Source organism: Homo sapiens, chromosome 22 (assembly GCF_000001405.40).
Source record: "Homo sapiens chromosome 22, GRCh38.p14 Primary Assembly".
NCBI lineage: Eukaryota > Metazoa > Chordata > Mammalia > Primates > Hominidae > Homo > Homo sapiens.
The window spans coordinates 23573124-23592510 of record NC_000022.11 but is presented as its reverse complement, the minus strand read 5'-3'; the positions used below and the strand labels follow the sequence as shown (position 1 = coordinate 23592510).

The following is a 19387-nucleotide window of genomic DNA, read 5'->3' as shown; positions in this document are numbered from 1 at the left end:
TATGCATACTGATGGTGCTTATCAGCTCTCTCCCTACTTCCTGTCCTTTTCTCCTCTTAAGCCTGGATTCAAAAACCCACTCCTCCTCTACCTTCTAATTCATGGACCGCCCCCCCCCAGTCTTGCTCCTTGATATCACTGGATGCCACCTCCTCTCTGATTACTCTGCCTTACCTGAGGCTGCTGCCATCCCTCTGCTGGCCCAGTGCACAGCCTCCTGACCTGACTGCCCTTGTATTTGTTCTGCTTTTGGCAGCCAGAGTGCTTTCTACCCTGCTAGCCTGATGGGGTCATTCCCTTCCTCAGACACCCCCATTGAGTCCCATGTAAACCAGAATGTCAAGGCCAGCCTGCAGGCCCTTCCTGATCTGGCTCCCGTCTCTGGACCCTCCATGCTCCAGCCCCATTGCGTTCCTGTGTTCCCTGAACATGCCTTCCGCTGGAGGGAAGGACGTGCCTCGGGAAACACCCCTCGCGTAGCCACAGAAGGAGCCTGGGCTGGAGGTTTGGGGGAGTCCTATTCCCATGTTAGCTACTGTAACATGGGAAGCAGAGGGCCTGCTCCCCCTCCACACCCCTCCCCCAGCCCTGTGCTGTATTCTGGGTGTCAGGTGCAGCTGAACCAGGGAAGAAGGCCAAATTTGGGGTTTGAGCCAGCCCTTTGGTTCGTGGGAAAGGAGAAAATAGGTCCAACCATAACCATTTTCTTCTTGCTTCTCATTGTTATGTTTTCATGTCGCCTTAACGCCTGGTGTATTTACGTATTTCCTAAAAACAATGATTTCGCAAGCACCCCAGCTGTGATTTTCCCTGAGCCCATGTGCTCCACAACCTAGCTCCTGACAGGACCCCCTACGCCTCAGATAGATCCTCACAATGGCTGAGGCTCAACCTGCCCTTGGGTTTCTTCCCTGTTTCGTGGATGAGGTCAGCAGAAATTTTGAGGGAAGCTCACTTCATAGAAGTGAAGTGGGAAGCGCTTGGAGTAGTTCAAGGTCTCAACAGGAGACCTTGCCATTTCACGTTCTCAGACAGCGAGAAGGCTGGCAGGAGACCATTTCCTTGTAGTCGGTGGAGAAAGGGGAGTCACAGGGAGGGAGAGGAAGAGACCTGACCCATCCAGCAAGAACAGGGCCTGGAAGAGTGCCCTCCTTGTCTGAAGCTCCAGTGCAGTCCTTGAGAGTGTAAGTGTGTGACCTGCAGCGGGAGGCCACCAGGGGGTGCTGTGAGACTGGCCCAAGCTGAACTGGGGGAGGAGGACCCCACATCTCTGCTTGGGACTCAGTGTCTTTTTCTTCCTTTTGCCTCAACCATTCCGCAGGCCTGAAGGCCAGAACTGTCTAGGGGAGCCCCGTTCCAGCTGTGGGATGCCTATAGATGTAGAGATGCTCCCAGATTCTTACACATCTCTGTAATTAGTGGAATAAGTGGGCCATGAGTGAGAACGGCTAGAGAAGGTTTGAGGAAGACAGTAGACAGCCTTATGCCATCCACGGAGCAGAGCATGCTCCGAGTGCAGGGCACATTCTTTTCAAGCAGATATGGAACAAAAGCGCACATATGCCAGGCTATAAAGAACATGTACCCTGCTGGGCCCAGTGGCTCACGCCTGTAGTCCTAGCACTTTGGGAGGCCAAGGCAGGGTGAGCGGATCCCTTTAGGTCAGGAGTTCAAGACCAGCCTGGCCAACATGGTGAACCCCCATCTCTAGATATATAGGTATCTAAATAGATATCTATATTTATATATCCGGGCGTGGTGGTGCACACCTGTAATCCCAGTTACTTGGGAGGCTGAGGCGGGAGAATCACTTGAACCTGGGAGGCAGAGGTTGCAATGAGCTGAGATTGTGCCACTGCACTCCAGCCTGGGTGACAGAACGAGACTCCATCTCAAAACAAAAAAGAATGTGTCCCCAAATATCAAAGGGCTGGCTGGGTGCAGTGGCTCCCACCTGTAATCCCAGCACTTTGGGAGACCAAGGCAGGCAGATCACTTTGAGCTCAGGAGTTTGAGACCAGCCTGGGCAACAAGGCAAAACCCCATCTCTACTAAAAGTACAAAAATTAGCTGGGTGTGGTGGTGCATGCCTATAATCCCAGCTACTTGTGAGGCTGAGGCAGGAGAATTGCTTGAACCCAAGAGGTGGAGGTTGCAGTGAGCTGAGACCACACCACTGCACTTCAGCCAGGGTGGGTGAGCAACACTCCGTCTCAAAAAAAAAAAAAAAAATCAAAGGGCTGAAATACAGGTTATGCTTTTGTAGTACAATGCAACGATGCTAGAAATCAATCACTAAAATGCAACCAGAAAGCCATTATGTGGCATCACCTCACCCCTAGCCAGGATTCATGGCTCTGGAAATCAACAAACAGAAGGTGCTTCCCGTCCACACAGCTCTGGGCTCTGTTGCTTTAGAGGCTTTAATTCCCAAGAGAGGAAACCTTCGACCAATTCCACAAGAGGCTGCCTCCCTGGCCACTGTGGGCTCCTTATGCCAGAGAACAATAGACATCCGGGGATCGAGCCAAACTATCAGGGTACTGGGGCACTGCTACACAGAGGGATGAAGGGAGGGTATGTCTGGAGCACTGAGAGCCTCGGGGTCCCTTCATGTCCTGTGGTAACAGTTACTGCAAACTACAGCCATGTAATTCAGGCAGGAGCGTGAATGGCCCAGACCCTCAGGTATAAGGGTTTGAGTCATCCCACCAAACAGGTAACACCAAGGTATCTGCTGAGGGCACAGAGACTACCCAGTGGGTAGTAGAAACAGTCAGCACCAGCTGCGGCCATGTGAGAGTGACAGAAAGGAGGACACTCAAGAGTGAGGATGTTTCTTCTTTGTTTTGACATGACTGTAATTGCATTTGTCGTAACACTAGTAACACTTTCTCCTCCTCATTTCCCTGTGATTAATACATTCTTATGTTAATAAGTGACCTACTTTTAAATTTTTTATTATATATGAACATTTATATATTTTTTATTTTATATATACACACACACATACACACATATATATATATGTACATATGTATGTTTTTTGGGTTTTTTTTAATGAGACAGTGTTGCTCTGTCGCCCAGGCTGGAGTGCAGTGGCACCATCATAGCTCACTGCAGCCTCGAGCTCTTGGGCTCAGGTGATTCTTCCACCTCAGCCTCCCAAGTAGCTGGGGCTACAGGTTCAAGCCACCACGTGTGGTTAATTTTTGTATTTTTTGTAGAGACAAAGTTTCACCATGTTGCCCAGGCTGGTCTTGAACTCCTGGGCTCAAGAGATCTGCCCACCTTGGCCTCCCAAAGTGCTGGGATTATAGGCATGAGCCACCTCGCCTGGCTGGTAACCTATTTTGATATCTAAGTTATAGAATATCAAAGGGGTGTGTGTGTGTGTGTGTGTGTGTGTGTGTGTGTGTGTCAGCTGGGAGAGTAATAAACATCACCTGAAGATGGATGAAGTGATCTATAGACCTGAGTCCTTTTCTGGGAGGGTTAGCTTGTTTGGGTTATATGAGCCTAGTTTCATCATGTTCGGCAGAAGCATGATGTTGCTAGTGGCTTTATTTGGAGGTTAATCTGGTTAGAGGAAGTGTGCAGAAATGCCACGCTGACAAAGGTGGGCTGGAGTGGTTTTGCCCTGTATCCACCTGGCTAAACTAGAACTAAGTTTCCTACAGTCCCCTTCTCCATATGATTTGGGGTCAGAATTGGCTAAAAAAAATTGTGAGATACCCGGGTGGCAGAAAGGAAGTGACAGCCATCACTCATTACAGGCCTGTTCGGTTGGAGGCCATAAGACAGATGCAGAGGGGCTGGGCCTGCCCAGGACCAGAGTGAGGGGAGCAGGCACCTGTGTGAGTACAGGGTCAGCACCTGAGAGTGAGCACCCTCTTAAATGGTGGCCCTAGGCACCTGCTGGGCAGACAGTAGGGCCCCCTGCCTGGAAGCTCTCTCTGTTCTCAGGAAGAGGGCAGCTCAGGTGTGACCTGCAAGAAGGAAGAGATTCTGAATACACTTCTCTGCTGTGGGCTGAACCCTCCCACTGAGCGCCTTCCCAACTTGTTATAGAAAATCAGAGCTCGGGCTGGGCACAGTGGCTCATGCCTGTGATCCCAGCACTTTGGGAAGCTGAGGCAGGTGGATCACCTGAGGCCAGGAGTTCAAGACCAGCCTGGCCAACATGGCAAAACATCTCTACTAAAAATACAAAAAAATTAGCTGGGTGTGGCCATGGGTACCTGTAATCCCAGCGACTTGGGAAGCTGAGGCAGGAGAATTGCTTGAACCTGGGAGGCGGAGGTTGCAGTGAGCTGAGATTGCACCACTGCATTCCAGCCTGGGTGACAGAGCAAGACTCTGTCTCAAAACAAAGAAAAAAAGAAAACCAGAACTGGACAGTAGCAAAAGGGTCAAAATAGATTTTATCAGGAACTACTGCTGTGGAGAAGAGGCCTCGGTATGAGACTGGGCTCCATGCGAATATAGCATGGGCAAGTGGGGATTCCTCAGAAGGCAGGCCAGGGTGACCAGATGTCACCTGGGGGATTGGGAATTTGATCAGATAGGGAAGGTGATCAGATGTTGAGGGTAGGTGACTATGGCTAAACCCACTTAGCAGGAATCTTGCTAAAACTGTGCAGTGCAGACGCAATTAAGGTGGGCACTGAAGCTCAAGGTCAAAGCCTAGTGGAGAAGGCTTAGAGGGGCCTGGCTCAAGTTTTTTCAAGGAGAGAGTCTTTGTCACACTGCATGCACGGTGGGGAGACCCCTGGGTTTCTGTGAGCCCTGACATTAGAGGCCTTGGGCCTGGTTCCTGGGGCACCTTCCAGGGTTCTGCTGAATGTGTCCCATTGCTGGATTGCTAGTTGGTTCTCAGATTGTCCCTGGCCTGGATGGTGGGGAGGGGAGGGTGGTGGTCAGCTGCCTGTCCTAGGCCTGAGGCCTTCACCACTCCCTCCCTTCTCTGTGCCCCAGGGAAGGCAGTCAGGCCCCGTCCCTGGTCCTGGTCCTCAGGGATGGGTCCCTCTGCCTGGATGATGGAGAAGGCTTCTCTCTCCCTTCGAATTTTGGTCTGATAAGGCTTCCCATGAGTAAATCCAGCCAACTGGGGGAAAGGGCAGGGAGAAACCCACAGAAATGGAAGCAGGGTTCTGGGATCGGGTGACCCTAGGTGCCCCACATCCAGATTCCCGGTTATGCCAGGCAGTAACTCCCTCCTTGTTTGAGGCCATTTGAGTTGGGTGTCTGGGACCCACAGGATGGCTCTCTGACATGGTCTATAACAGACATTGCACATGTACCCTGGAAGCATGGGGGGAGGGGCACCCGGCAGTGCTATCCCAGCCCCAGATACTGCACAGAAAAGGCCTAGAAATCCCATCATAGAGATGCGACTAAACTGTTGGAAATGCAAGGAAAACAAACATGACTCTTGCACGATAAGGGCACAGGTAAGTCTTTTAGAGAAGAGCTCCCGTGTGCAGGAGTGGTGGGCTAGGTTAGAGAATGGCTATGAAAGTAAACAGATGGAAAAAGATACCGTGAAATTCCTACTCAAAGGAAAACTGGTGTAGTTATATAGATATCAGACAAAAGAAACTTCAAGGTAAAAGGTGTCATCTGGAATAAATAGGGCTATTTTATGCTAATAAAAGTTTTATTTCGGCTGGACGCAGTGGCTCACATCTGTAATCCCAGCACTTTGGGAGGCTGAGGCGAGTGGATCACCTGAGGTCAGGAGTTCAAGAACAGCCTGGCCAACATGGTGAAACCCTTGTCTCTACTAAAAATACAATAATTAGCCGGGCATGGTGGTATGTGCCTGTAATCCCAGCTACTCTGGAGGCTGAGGCAGGAGAACCACTTGAACCTGGGAGGAGGAGGTTGCAGTGAGCCGAGATTCTGCCATTGCACTCCAGCCTGGGTGACAAGAGTGAAACTCAGTCTCAAAAACAAACAAACAAACAAAAACCTCATCAGGGAACATGAGGGAGGTAATGGTGTTTTTTGGTTTTCTTTTGAAACAGGGTCTCACACTGTTGCCCAGGCTGGAGTGCAGTGGTGTGATCACAGTTCATTGCAGCCTAGACCTCCTGGGCTCAGATGATCCTCCCACCTCAGCCTCCCAAGGAGCTGGGACTACAGGTGCAAGTCACCATGCCCAGCTAGTTTTTAATGTTTTTGTAGAGATGGGGTTTCACCATGTTCCCCAGGCTGGTTTCAAACTCCTGGGCTCAAGTGATCCTTCTGCCTTGGCCTCCCAAAGTGATAGGATTACAGGCGTAAGCTACCAGCCGGACTAGCAGTTTTAAATTTGTATGCATCTAATAATGTGGTCTCAAAAAATATGAAACCAAAAACTGCTGAGCTACAGGGACAAATAAATTCACAGTCCCTGAGGGAGATGATTCCTTCTCAGCAGACAAACCCTAAAAAACAAAAATAAATAGAAGATTGAAAGACAATAATGAGTACCTAATGGACTTACATATAGAACACTGCATTCAAGGGTTGCAGAGTACATATTCTCTTCAAAGATAAAAAACAGACAAGAATCATTGACAAAAAGTAACTATCTATTGAGTTACAAAACAAGTCTCCATAAGGCAGATTTGAAAGAATTGAAATTATTCAGAGTATGCACCCTAAATACATACAGTTAAACTAGAAATCAATAACCAATATATGGCCGGGCACACAGTGACTCATCCCTGTAATCCCAGAACTTTAGGAGGCCAAAGCGAGAGGATCATTTGAAGCCAGAAGTTTGAGTCCAGCCCGGGCAACACAGTGAGACCCTGTCTTTATAAAAATAAAAGAGAAAGTAGCTGGGTGTGGTGGCATGTGCCTGTAGTCCTAGCTACTCAGGAGGCTGAGGCAGGAGGATCACTTGAGCCTAGGAGTTGGAGACTGCAGTGAGCCATGATTACACTACTGCACTCCAGCCTGGGTGACAGTGAGACTGTCTCAAAAAAAAGAAAAGAAAACCCACAAAACCCACAAAATATCCCCCACAACCAAATATATAACTAGAACCTCCTCATATATTTGGAAATTAAGAAATACGCTGCTAGGCGGGCATGGTGGCTCATGCCTGTAATCCCAGCACTTCAGGAGGCCAAGTCGGGAGGATCTTGAGTTCAGGAGCTTGAGACCAGCCTGAGCAACATAGCAAGACCCTCTCAACAAAACATGTAACACAATTTAGCCAGGTGTGGTGGCATGTTCCTCTAGTTCCAGCTACTTCGGAGGCTGAAGTGGGAAGATCGCTTGAGCCTAAGAGTTGGAGGCTGCAGTCAGCCCTGATTGCACCACTGCACTCCAGCTTGGCTGACACAGCAAGACCCTGTCTCTAAAACAGAAAGGAGGGAAGGAAGGAGAGAAAGAAGGGAAAGGAAGGAGAGAGAGAGGAAAAAAAAGAAAGAGAGAAAAGAAACTGCTGAATAAGCCAACAGTTGGGGAACTCAAGAAACAAAATTAGGTAACATTTTAAACTGAACAATGATGAGACCACCACATAAAAATTTGTAGGATACAGATAAATCAGCACATAGAGGGAAACTGGTAACTTAAATCCCAGCCCTTTGGGAGGCTGAGGTGGGAGGGATTCCTTGAGCCCTGGAGGTTGAGGCTGCAGTGAGCTATGATTGCACCATTACATTCCAGCCTGGGCAACAGAGTGAGACCCTGTCTCAAAAAAAAGACTGTTGTTTAATTTTCACAAGTTTGTGAAATGTAAAATTTAAATGTTAATCCCACCCACAAAATAATGCCACAGAAACATCAGAATAATATTTGACCAAATATCTGGCACTGTGGCCCTGCCAAGTTGACACATAAAATTAAACATCACCCTGGCCGTAAATAATGGTAGGTACATCATCATCCTCATGTCCAAGGAAACCTCAAGACTTCTGGGCTTTGAAGAATATTTTGAAGCTGCCAAAATAACAGAGATCACTTCCAGTGACCCTGAAAACTTGAGAGTTTCTAGAACCTTCACTTCTGGTTCCTGAGGAAAATGGTCCTGTATTTCCTCTGGAGACAGCCTGAGAGAGAGGGATCCTTGGTGGTGCAGGCGGAGTCTTTGAGGCCTGGGGCATAGAGAGTGGGCAGGGGACTGACCAGCAGGAGGCCAGAATGGGGGACACCCACAAACACGGGAGCAGGGCAGAGGTGACTAGATGGGGCAGTCACCTGTGCTCTGAGAGAGGACAGCCAGGCAGGACCCAGAGGGCTCTGCAGAGGCACCAGGGACCCTAAAAAGGGAGGGCACTGAGCAGGACAGCAGGGCCCAGCCTCCTCTGCCCAGGCCTGGACACATCTCAGTCCAGGAAGGGGTGAGGTGAGCCTGGGTGGTGAGAGCTGCAGCTGCACCTGCTGGAGAGGCCCGGCCCAGCCCAGCCCCGCAGGGTCCCCAGGATCCAGCCAGACCCAGATTTCCCGCCACAGAAAGATGTGGTCTGAGGCTGCCTCTGTTGAGAGGCCATGGCAGGTGCAGGGTCAGGCAGGGCCTGAAAGGGAGCGGCTGGGGGCACTATTTAAAACAGTCGCTTCCTCTCCCGAGACCTGGGGCTGTCCTTGGGGGAACCACAGTTTCTGAGTCCCAGGCAGTGATGAGTGTCACACTCAAGGGGGGTGCTGGGGAGGGAGCAGCTTCAGCCCAGACCCCCAGTGCAGGTGCTGCTCCAGCCCTGAAGGTGAGAGGAGCCAGGGTCGGGGGCAGCAGTGGACCAAGGCTCCCAACAGGGGAGAAGCTAGACTGGATTGGGGCCTCCCAGGGGCTTCCCCTCTACCTGCATCAGTGTTTCTTAGGGTGTCCACATCCCATTACTGCTCAGCACCTTGCCCATCTCCCCGAGGATCGGGAGCTGTCTGGCATGCAGCCTTTGGCGCTGAGGGGACTCTCAGTGTTCATGGGACACTGGGATCTGAGCATCAGTCCATGGAGCCTGAGCTCACTATGGCTCTCGTGATCTCTATGAGATAATGTGAAGTCTTCTGTTTGTCTCTCTGTCTGTCTGTTACAGCATCCCACAACCATGGCTGGCAGATGCCAAGGGGATGTGTGAGATGGCCCAGCTCCAGGATGAAACTCAACTTTAGGGAAGCTGGGGAGAGCCTCACAGCGCTGGACAAGCCATCAGATGGCACTGCCCCCAGGGACACACCCGGGGGCGTGGACAGGGATATGGAGGACCTAAGGCAAAGGGTGGCTTCAAACGTGACAGCAGATCAGCCGCTGGGGAAATACCAGAGGGGATTTGACAGCTGGGCCAGGTGTTCCAGGACAGCACTTTCCAAAAGATTTTCCATCCAAACTTCCAGCAAGAAGTAGATCTTCCATCGTTATCCAGAGCATATCTACGCATTCAGGTAACTGAAGCAACATTCCAGGAACCCTCACCATCCCTCCCGTTGAACAGTTCGCTCTCCAGCTGGAGTCAGCTCTGGGCTGCCTCACTTTAACAAAATGCTGGTTGCAGCCATTGGAATTAATTTTACACCCTCTGAGTTGCAGTGCAAAATTTGAAGACTGGCATTTGGAAGCTCAGTATCATCAAGGATTCATTTATTTTATGATGGTTGACAACATTTTCCAGGCCACACTAACTGGGTCAGCTGGTAATAATAATAATATGATAATTGGCCGGGCACGATGGCTCACGCCTGTAATCCCAGCTCTTTGGGAGGCTGAGGTGGGCTGATCGCCTGAGATCAGGAGTTCGGGACCAGCCTGATCAACATGGTGAAACCCCGTCTCTACTAGAAACACAAAAATTTAGCATGATGGCGGGCACCTGTAGACCAGCTGCCTGGGAGGCTGAAGCAGGAGAATTGCTCGAACCCGGGAGGCAGAGGCCACAGTGAGCCGAGATAGCACCATTGCACTTCAGCCTGGGCAGCAGAGTGAAACTCCATCTCAAAATAATAATAATAATAATAATAATAAGCCCCTGAAGGTATTACACATGCAGCACTTTCCAGTTTAAAAAGGACTTTCAAAGGACAAGTAGTGTATGGTCCCATCCATAGGAGGTATCCAGAGTACCCAAATATAGAGATGGGAACTAGCATGGTGGGTGCCAGGGGCTGGGGGAGGGAGGAATGGGAAGTTGGTGTTGAATGGGGACAGAATTTGAGTTCTGCAAGATGAAAAAGATCTAGACATGCCATTGCACTCCAGCCTGGGCAACAGAGTGAGACTCCGTCTCAAAAAAAAAAAAGAAAAAGCCAGTTGCGGTGGCTCACGCCTGTAAACCCAGCACTTTGGGAGGCCGAGGCAGGTGGATCATGAGGTCAGGAGTTTGAGACCAGCCTGACCAACATGCTGAAACCCCATCTCTACTAATAATACAAAAATTAGCTGGCATGGTGGTGGGCGCCTGTAATCCCAGCTACTCAGGAGGCTGAGACAGGAGAATCGCTTGAACCCGGGAGAAAGAGATTGCCATGAGCTAAGATTGCGCCACTGCACTCCAGCCTGGGCAACAGAGCAAGACTCTGAAAAAAGAAAAATCTAGAAATGGATGGTGGTGATGGTTGCACGACATTGTGAATGTAGTTAATGCCACTGAACTGTGTACTTAAAAATGGTCAAGATGGGCCAGGCGCGGTGGCTCACACCTGTGATCCCAGCACTTTGGGAGGCCCAGGCGGGTGGATCATGAGGTTAGGAGATCGAGACCAGCCTGGCCAACATGGTGAACCCCATCTCTACTAAAAATACAAAAATTAGCTTGTCGTGGTGGTGCATGCCTGTAATCCCAGCTACTCAGGAGGCTGAGGCAGGAGAATCGCTTGAACCAGGGATTCGGAGGTTTCAGTGAGCTGAGATCACGCCACACTGCACTCCAGCCTGGCGACACAGCAAGACTCTCAAAAAAAAAAAAAAGGTCAAGATGATAAATTTTAGGTTGTGTGTATGTTACTGCTTTTTCACAGATGAAGAAAACAACACTGACATGCATTATCTCCCAACACCAACCTCAACCCAGCCCTGGAGTGTGAGCAGAGCCAGCAGCATTTCCAGCCCCGCCTCTGGAGGAAGGAGAGGAACCTGAGACTCTTGGGTGACCTGAGGCGTCTCTGGCAGCACCAGCAAAAGAGCCTGGCCCTGGCCGCCCAGCACAGGTGCTCAGTCCCTCCTGACTGCCACTGCTCCCTCAACACCAAAGCACAGGGTCGCGAGATGTTGGGAGAGGGTCGGGGATGCTGGGCTGGGAGAGGACCGGGGGCCTGTCAGAAGCCATGACATGATGCACTCACCGCTCAGGAGGAAGCTACTGGCCTTTGAGTGAAATCTATAAGAATGAACTCTGGAGATGTATCGTACAACATGGAGTCTACAGTTAAAAACTGTATTGTATACTGGAAAATTGCTAAGATTAGATCTTCCATGTTCTCACTACAAAAGCATAAGTATGTGAGATGACGGACGTGTGTGTCAGCTTGATTTAATCATTTTGCAGTGTGGCAAAGCATCGCACTGTAGGTGGTAAATATATATACAGTTTTGTCAATTATACCTTCAGGAAGCTGGGGTGGTTGGTGTGTGTGTGTGTGTCTGTGTGATGTGAGGTCAGTGAGGTGCTGAACATGGTGCATTAAACAGCATTTTCATTCTTATCTCATGATTCCTGGACTTGAACCGTTGAGTGGCTTCTGGCTAAACCCAAACCTGTTTCCTGCTCTCTAACCACACCTCCCTCTAGGACCGGTTGGAGGAGCCTCAGCCCAGGCCCCTGAGCTCAAGCCCTGGGGGACTCCTGCTGGGCAGCTCTCTGGACCCCAGTGAGATGCTCCACAGACCCAGGGCGCCCTCGGGGAAGTGGGGAAGGAGGGAAGTCAGGTGCATCACCTCTTGGGACCAGCCCCGAGGGGACTCAAGCCCATCCAGGGCGCAGGTGCCTCCAAAGGAAAGCCCCAAGGGAGGGTCTTGGGGGGCCATGGCGCATCCCACCTCCCTGTGTGACCTCAGCTCTTGCTGACCCTCTGCCTGTGGTGGGAGGTCCCCAAACAAAGCACCCAGGGCCCCAGGGGCAAGGCCAAGCTGACAGGTGTGGGAGGCAGTTGAGCCCTGGATCCTGACCACAGCAGGGCAGTTGGCAGATGTGCCTCTGGGACAGAACCCCAGGGGTAACGGTCATGGACTCTGGAAGGGGCCTGGCTGGGGGCAGGGACCAGAGGATGAGGATGGGGCCACATGGACTGGGGTGCAATGGGACAGCTGCTGCCAGCGAGAGGGACCAGGGCACCACTCTCTAGGGAGCCCACACTGCAAGTCAGGCCACAAGGACCTCTGACCCTGAGGGCCGATGAGGCCAGGGACAGGCCAGGGGGGCCTTGAGGCCCCTGGTGAGCCAGGCCCCAACCTCAGGCAGCGCTGGCCCCTGCTGCTGCTGGGTCTGGCCGTGGTAACCCATGGCCTGCTGCGCCCAACAGCTGCATCGCAGAGCAGGGCCCTGGGCCCTGGAGCCCCTGGAGGAAGCAGCCGGTCCAGCCTGAGGAGCCGGTGGGGCAGGTAAGGGGTGAGAGATTCCAGGGGATGTGGGGGTCTGGGTGGCAGAGGCGGGAAAGGATGACCAAGGGGAGACGAGCCAGAGGGGTGAGGAGGAAGGTTAATCCCTGGAGGGGAGCCACAGACACTGACTTTAACTAAAGTGTCAAGATTTTGTCCATCTTTGAATTAATTTTTATTGCTTAATGTCATATTAAAATATTATTTATCTTGATTCCTGAGATTTCTTCCCCCACTTACATTTGGCACCAAGGCCAATGTCTCCCTCACCTCCCCCTAGTCCTTGGGGTAGGGCAGGACTGGAGGCAGGGGCAGGACGTCCACAGGAGTGGTGGCCGCTATCCCTGAAGGATGCCCAGGCCTCTCCCTCCTCCTCCTCCCACTCCTCCTCCCCCCCCTCCTCTTTTCCCCTTGGCCTATGTCACCTGTCCACTCCCACCCTCACTGGGCAGGGGCCACTCCCTGGAGCTCCAGCTAAGGTGTGAGGGGCCTTTCCTGGAGTCCCTGGGTCACTAGACCTCAGCCAGCATCGCCTCCTGAAACCAGCCCCTAGGAGACACAAGCTTATCCAGGGTGCAAGTGCCTCCAAAGAAGAAGCCCAGGAGAGGCTCTAGGGAGGCCACAACTCCCTGTGTGACCTCAGCCATTGCCACCACTCTGCGTGTGGTGGGAGGTCCCCAGACAAAGCACCAAGCATCGGGGTCCATTTATGAGCATTTGGGACACAACAGCCTGTTCACTGGTGCATGTTATACCCACAGGCGATAATCATTTCAGGGGCAGAACCTCCCTCTCGGTGGCCCCATAGGCAGGTCCTGCTGTGATCCCCTTTGTGCAGACGGGGATAGAGCCCGGAGAGGTGAGGTGACCCGTCCGAGTCACTCAGCTCATGGGCACAGATTCTAAGGCCCAAGCTATCCCCTCTAGCTCTCCCCTGTCCCATCCTCTAAGCTGATCGAGCGGACACGTGCATCTCTGGGACCTGAGTTTCCCTTTTTCTCTCTTTTTTTTCTTTTTCAAATAAAGTTTCACAGAGTTTCACTCTTGTCGCCCAGTCTGGAGTGCAATGGCGAGATCTTGGCTCATTGAAACCTCCGTCTCCCAGGTTCAAGACATTCTCCTGCCTCAGCTTCCGGAGTAGCTGGGATTACAGGCATCTGCCACCACACCTGGCTAATTTTGTGTATTTTTTTTTAGTAAAGACAGAGTTTCACCATGTTGGCCAGGCTGGTCTCAAACTCCTGACCTCAGGTGATCCACCCACCTCAGCCTCCCAAAGTGCTGGGATTACAGGCATGAGACACCACACCGGGCCTGAGTTTCCCCTTCTGCAATCTGAGGGGCCCTGACTGGTGAGGGCCTTCAGCGTCCCACCCACCCAGAGGATGCTGGGGTGGCTGTGGTGAGAGCTCCAGCAGTGGCAGCCGACCTGACCCACACCAGGAGCCCGGCCATGGAGGCGGGGTCAGCATGGTGGCAGGCCGGGACCGGGTGTCAGTGTCCTGCACGGACTTCTGAGCAAGGAGTCCCCATCAGGGTCAGGCTCTGTGCTGGGGCTGAGGTCCCAGAGGATCTAGATTTGCCCCAATTCAAGTCCACAAGGAGCGGGGGCCGGGTGAGGAGACAGCCACATGCAGGGTGATGCCTACAGAACAGAGACTGGGATGGGGAAGGCCCGAGGGGTCTCCACAAGGGACGGGTGACAGGTGGAGGGAGACACAGATAATAAAAAATGGTATTATGTTGGGGGGCTATTAATGTAAGTTTTTATATTAGAATCTTTAGAAATCTTATAGAAATACTATGGGCCGGGTGCTGTGTCTCATGCCTGTAATCCCAGCACTTTAGGACGCCAAGATGGGCAGATCACGAGGTCAGGAGATTGAGACCATCCTGGCCAACATGGCAAAACTCCGTCTCTACTAAAAATACAAAAACTAGCTGGGCGTGGTGGCGCGAGCCTATAGTCCCAGCTACTCGGGAGGGGAGGCAGGAGAATCGCTTGAATCAGGGAGGTGGAGGTTGCAGTGAGCTGAGATTGCACCGCTGCACTCCAGCCTGGACGACAGAACGAGACTCCCACTCAAAAAAAAAAAAAGGTATTATGCTGGGGGGGATATGAATATGAGTTTTTATAATCTTTAGAAATACTATGGGCCAGGTGCAGTGGCTCATGCCTGTAATCCCACAACTTTGGGAGGCTGAGGCGGGATTGTTTGAGCCCAGGAGTTTGAGATCAGCCTGAGCAACATAGCAAGACCCCATTTCTACAAAACATATAAAAACTAGCTAGTCATGGTGGCACTTGCCTGTGGTCCCAGCTACTTAGGAGGCTGGTGAGAGGATTGCTTAAGCCTCGGAGGTTGAGGATGCAGTAAGCTGAGATCCCACCACTGCACTCCAGCCTGGGTGACAGAAGGAGACCCTGTCTCAAAAAAAAAAAAAAAAAAAAAAGACTGATTATTCCTGTAGAATTCTGGTAAATATCTCCTATCAAATAAATGACTTTTCTATTCATAGCTTATTAAAAGATATTTTCATTGTTTTTAAGAAATAGGTTGTGTATCACTTTTTATATTTAGTTGTAAATTTATTTGTTTTATTTATTTTTTTAGAGATGGGGGTCTCACTATGTTGCCTGGGCTGGCCTCCAACTGCTGGGCTCAAGCAATATCCCTGCCTCAGCGTCCCCAGTAGCTGGGACTACAAGCATGCGCTACCACACCGGCATAATTTTTTGTAGAGATGAGGTTTCGCCATGTTGCCTGGGCTGGTCTTGAACCCCTGGGCTCAAGCCATCCACCCGCCTCGGCCTCCTAAAGTGCTGAGATTACAGACGTGAGCCACCCTACCTAGCCTGTACTATTTTTAATAGGTCTTAATAGGTTTTGAATGTTAATTATTTTTAAATTAATTTCAAAAATCTTCTACAACATGGATGAAACCTGAAGACATTATACTTAGTGAAATAAGCCAGACACAAAAGGACAAATGTCATTTGAATCCACTTCTATGAGGTACCTAGAATAGGCAAATTCACTTGGACAAAAAGTAGATTTGAGGTTAGCAGGGTGAGGGGGAGGGAAGAATGGGGGACTGTAGTTAACGGGTTTAGAGTTTCTGTTTGGGAAGATGAAAGAGTTCTGGAGATGGATGGTGGTGAAGGTTGCCCAACGGTGTGAATGTACTTAGTGCCACGGAGCTGTACGTTTAAAAATAGTTAAAGTGGAAATATTGATGCTATGTATAAAAATGGAGCGGGGTGTGGTGGCTCACACCTATAATCCCAGCACTTTGAGAGGCCAAGGTGGGCAGATCACCTGAGGTCGGGAGTTCGAGACCAGCCTGACAAACATGGAGAAACACCGTCTCTACTGAAAATACAAAAAATTAGCCAAGTGTGCTGGCACATGCCTGTAATCCCAGCTACTCGGGAGGCTGAAGCAGGAGAATCGCTTGAACCCAGGATGTGGAGGTTGCGGTGAGCCAAGGTGGCACCATTGCACTCCAGCCTGGGCGACAAGGGTGAAATTCCATTTCAAAAAAATAAAAGGAAATGGGACTGTACATAGCAGGAGAGAGAGGGAGAGATCAATATGACACTTCTTTTTTTTTTTTTTTTTTTTTGGGACAGTCTTGCTCTGTTGCCAGGCTGCACTCCAGCCTGGGCAACAGAGCGAGACTCTGTCTCAAAAAAAAAAAGAATGTCTAGATGCAGTAGCTAAGTTCGCAGAAGCCATTTCAGTGTGGGAGGCGAGGTGACTGAGTCCAGGGACTCCAGGTTTCTGGCTGAGGGGTTGAGACCGCCCATGGTCATTGTGATGAGATGAAGACAGAAAATGAGCTGGGCTGGGGGAAGGTGGTCATCTCCTCTGGACGTGATTAGTTTGAGGCTCCTGTTGGGTAGCCCACTGGGCAAGGTCAGTAGGCAATTGAGGAGCTGAGAGGGTTTGGAGCTGGGATAGACTCCAGCCTCACCATGTGGGCAATAGTGGGGGTCACAGAGTGTGAAAATGGCTAAGAAAGAGGTCTGGGTGGGGTCTGGGGAGTCAGCAGCCAGGCATGGGCCATGGAGAAACAGATGCCAGGGGAAGAGGAAAGGGGAGTCTCAGACCCCAAGGGGAAAAGAGTCACTGGAAAGAGGGGCCAGCCCTGTGTCGCATCCAGCGGAGACACCAGGTACAGCAGAAGGACCTTGGACATGACCATGAGGAGGGCCTTGTTGACCATGGCCTGGGAGAGATGGGGGTGAGAGCCTGGGGGACCACACCATGTCCCCAGCACACAGTGCCTGGTAGACAGGATGGATTTATGGATGGACGGACAGGTAGATGGATGGACGAATGGACAGATGATAGATGGATGCAAAGACAGATGAATAGATGGACAGATGCATAGATGGACAGATGGACAGATGGATGGACGGACGGATGGAATGAATGATCAGAAAAGGCTTCATGAACAAAGTGAGACTGAGCTGCATCTCCATGGGTAGATATAAAAGCAGAGGACTCTCCTCTTGAGTCAGGAATGACCCAATGTCCTGGTCCAGGGAGGAAGTCAGCCTCCTTGACTGGGGACACTTGTGGCAGATTTCAGAGGCCCTTAAAATGAGGCCAAGTGAGGTGGACAGGTCCGAGCCAGCTGAGGACTCCTCAGCCACACGGCACAGCTGCCTGAGGGGATGTGTCACTCAGGGAGTTGCTGGGACCTACTGGGCCCAGCGTTGCCATCAGCACCAACAGTTTCAGAGAGGGGGACACACGCTGGGGCAGCACCTGCCTCAGAGAAGGGACAGGCACAGAGACACTACTGGGGGACACTACTGGGACACTGGCCACCCCCCTACCCTGTGCCTGGGTCACAGCCTACACACTGCAGCCCTGTGCCCCTCACTCCCAGCAGGTTCCTGCTCCAGCGCGGCTCCTGGACTGGCCCCAGGTGCTGGCCCCGGGGGTTTCAATCCAAGCATAACTCAGTGACGCATGTGTTTGGCAGCGGGACCCAGCTCACCGTTTTAAGTAAGTGGCTCTAACTTCCCAGGCTGTCCCACCCTCTCCTGTCTCTGGAAAATGTGTTTTCTCTCTCTGGGGCTTCTTCCCCTCTGCCCTCCCAGCCTTAAGCACTGACCCCTACCTTTGTCCATGGGGCCTGGAGGAGATGTGTTAGTCTCAGGGTAATGGCAGGAAGGGCCCCCACAGTGGGAGCAGCCGCCTTCAGGTTCCAACAGCAGGACACAGCCTGGTCCCAGGGCCTGGGCTGGGATTGGGCGGGGTCAGGGCTCCTCCCCTCTCCCAGGGCAGATGTCTGAGTGAGGGACAGAGGCTGGTTCTGATGAGGGGCCCTGCAGTGGCCTTAGAGACAGTCCCTGGGACCCCAGGTTCTAGGCTGAGGGCTGGATGCCCATCCAGCCTGGGAGGGCCACACGGGGGCCTGGGGACACAGGGGTCACCCCCAGGGGAGACCAATGGAGGGCACAGAGAGGGCTCTGGGTCTAGGCTGCAGCTCTGTGGCCTCTGCTGGGTCTTCAGGGCATGGGGACACAGAGGAACGGATGAGGTCCCAGAGCCCAGCCCTCCCAGGACAGTCACCAGAAAGGAGAGGGTCTCTTAGTGCAGAGATGTGCCTGTCCCTGGAGCCCTGTCATCTCTGGGGCCTGGTGTCTCTCTGTTCATGGGTCGACCTCCCACCTTCATTTGAGGAAGGGCACCTTAGACTCAGAAGGTGACTAGCGGGGAGTAAACGGGAGTGCAGAGAACTCCATGGCTGCCAGGTGAAGTCCAGGGGCATCAGAGGCTGCTGGGGTGGGCATGGGGGCTGCGGTGCCCCAAAGTCTGGGGGAGCAGCCCCAAGAACCCAGCCGATGTGAAGGGTCCTGTGGTCGGGCTGGTGGGGACAGGGGCGACGGCAGAGCCCCAGGGTGTGTCTGGGTGGAGCCCACGCTTCACCAGGAGAGCTGAGTGGGCCAGGCTGGGGCACAGCCTGGTGCCCCAGGGGATGGGAAGCTCCAGGCCATGCCAGGCTTGGGTCTCCCCACATCCTGCCAGTATAGTTTTGTGTGCTGTGAGGGAGACCCCTAGATTCCAAACTCAGACTCCAGAAACCAGGAAGGAGGGAGCACAGCCTGCCCTGGGTGCACACGGGGAAACCGAGGCTGCAGAGGAAAGGGCTGGGCCAGGACACCTGGGAAAGGTGACTTGGGAAGGGCTCCTAGGAAGGCACAGGGCTGTCTGCTCTCCAGAGGGCTCCAGTGGAAAGGAGGGAATGAGGAGGGAAGGAGAGGCCCTGGGTGGACCAGGCGGCCACACCATGAACCCTCCCAGAGACTTTAGACAGAGAGAGGCGCTCCACAACACCCCACACTCCCTCTGCCATCTCTCACCCCCTCCTCTGTCCACACAGGTCAGCCCAAGGCCACCCCCTCGGTCACTCTGTTCCCGCCGTCCTCTGAGGAGCTCCAAGCCAACAAGGCTACACTGGTGTGTCTCATGAATGACTTTTATCCGGGAATCTTGACGGTGACCTGGAAGGCAGATGGTACCCCCATCACCCAGGGCGTGGAGATGACCACGCCCTCCAAACAGAGCAACAACAAGTACGCGGCCAGCAGCTACCTGAGCCTGACGCCCGAGCAGTGGAGGTCCCGCAGAAGCTACAGCTGCCAGGTCATGCACGAAGGGAGCACCGTGGAGAAGACGGTGGCCCCTGCAGAATGTTCATAGGTTCCCAGCCCCGACCCCACCCAAAGGGGCCTGGAGCTGCAGGATCCCAGGGGAAGGGTCTCTCTCTGCATCCCAAGCCATCCAGCCCTTCTCCCTGTACCCAGTAAACCCTAAATAAATACCCTCTTTGTCAACCAGAAAT

At 52.3% G+C, this 19387-nt stretch overlaps 2 protein-coding genes across 8 annotated transcripts in view; both read left to right on the top strand.

Annotated features, from left to right (window-relative positions):
- DRICH1 (aspartate rich 1) overlaps positions 1 to 11631 on the top strand; it is a 51937-nt gene extending 40306 nt beyond the window's left edge. For 4 of the 5 annotated variants that reach the window (XM_011530210.3, XM_011530209.3, XM_011530208.3 and 1 more), the window contains one exon: positions 9033 to 11631. In XM_011530210.3, coding sequence (XP_011528512.1) covers positions 9033 to 9340 — 308 coding nt within the window. In that variant the 3' untranslated portion in view covers positions 9341 to 11631. The remainder of the gene's footprint in view (positions 1 to 9032) is intronic. The other variant, XM_011530206.2, reaches the window with a different exon arrangement.
- Positions 12221 to 19386, top strand: IGLL1 (immunoglobulin lambda like polypeptide 1). 3 transcript variants are annotated; one of them, NM_020070.4, is made up of 3 exons: positions 12221 to 12526; positions 17429 to 17544; positions 18926 to 19386. In NM_020070.4, exons 1-3 carry the CDS (start codon positions 12321 to 12323, stop codon positions 19243 to 19245), a joined length of 642 nt encoding a protein of 213 aa, NP_064455.1. In that variant the 5' UTR covers positions 12221 to 12320; the 3' UTR covers positions 19246 to 19386. The 3 variants fall into 3 exon arrangements, with proteins under 3 accessions (NP_064455.1, NP_001356835.1, NP_690594.1); NM_001369906.1 differs by having other exon boundaries at positions 17426 to 17544; NM_152855.3 differs by lacking the exon at positions 17429 to 17544.

Excerpts from the sequence above, each read along its gene's own strand:
- IGLL1 (NM_001369906.1), top strand. The coding sequence starts at position 12,321 with ATGAGGCCAGGGACAGGCCAGGGGGGCCTTGAGGCCCCTGGTGAGCCA. Across the intron at positions 12,527-17,425 it reads CTGAGGAGCCGGTGGGGCAG|CAGGTTCCTGCTCCAGCGCG; the intron begins GTAAGGGGTGAG and ends CCTCACTCCCAG. Across the intron at positions 17,545-18,925 it reads GACCCAGCTCACCGTTTTAA|GTCAGCCCAAGGCCACCCCC; the intron begins GTAAGTGGCTCT and ends CTGTCCACACAG.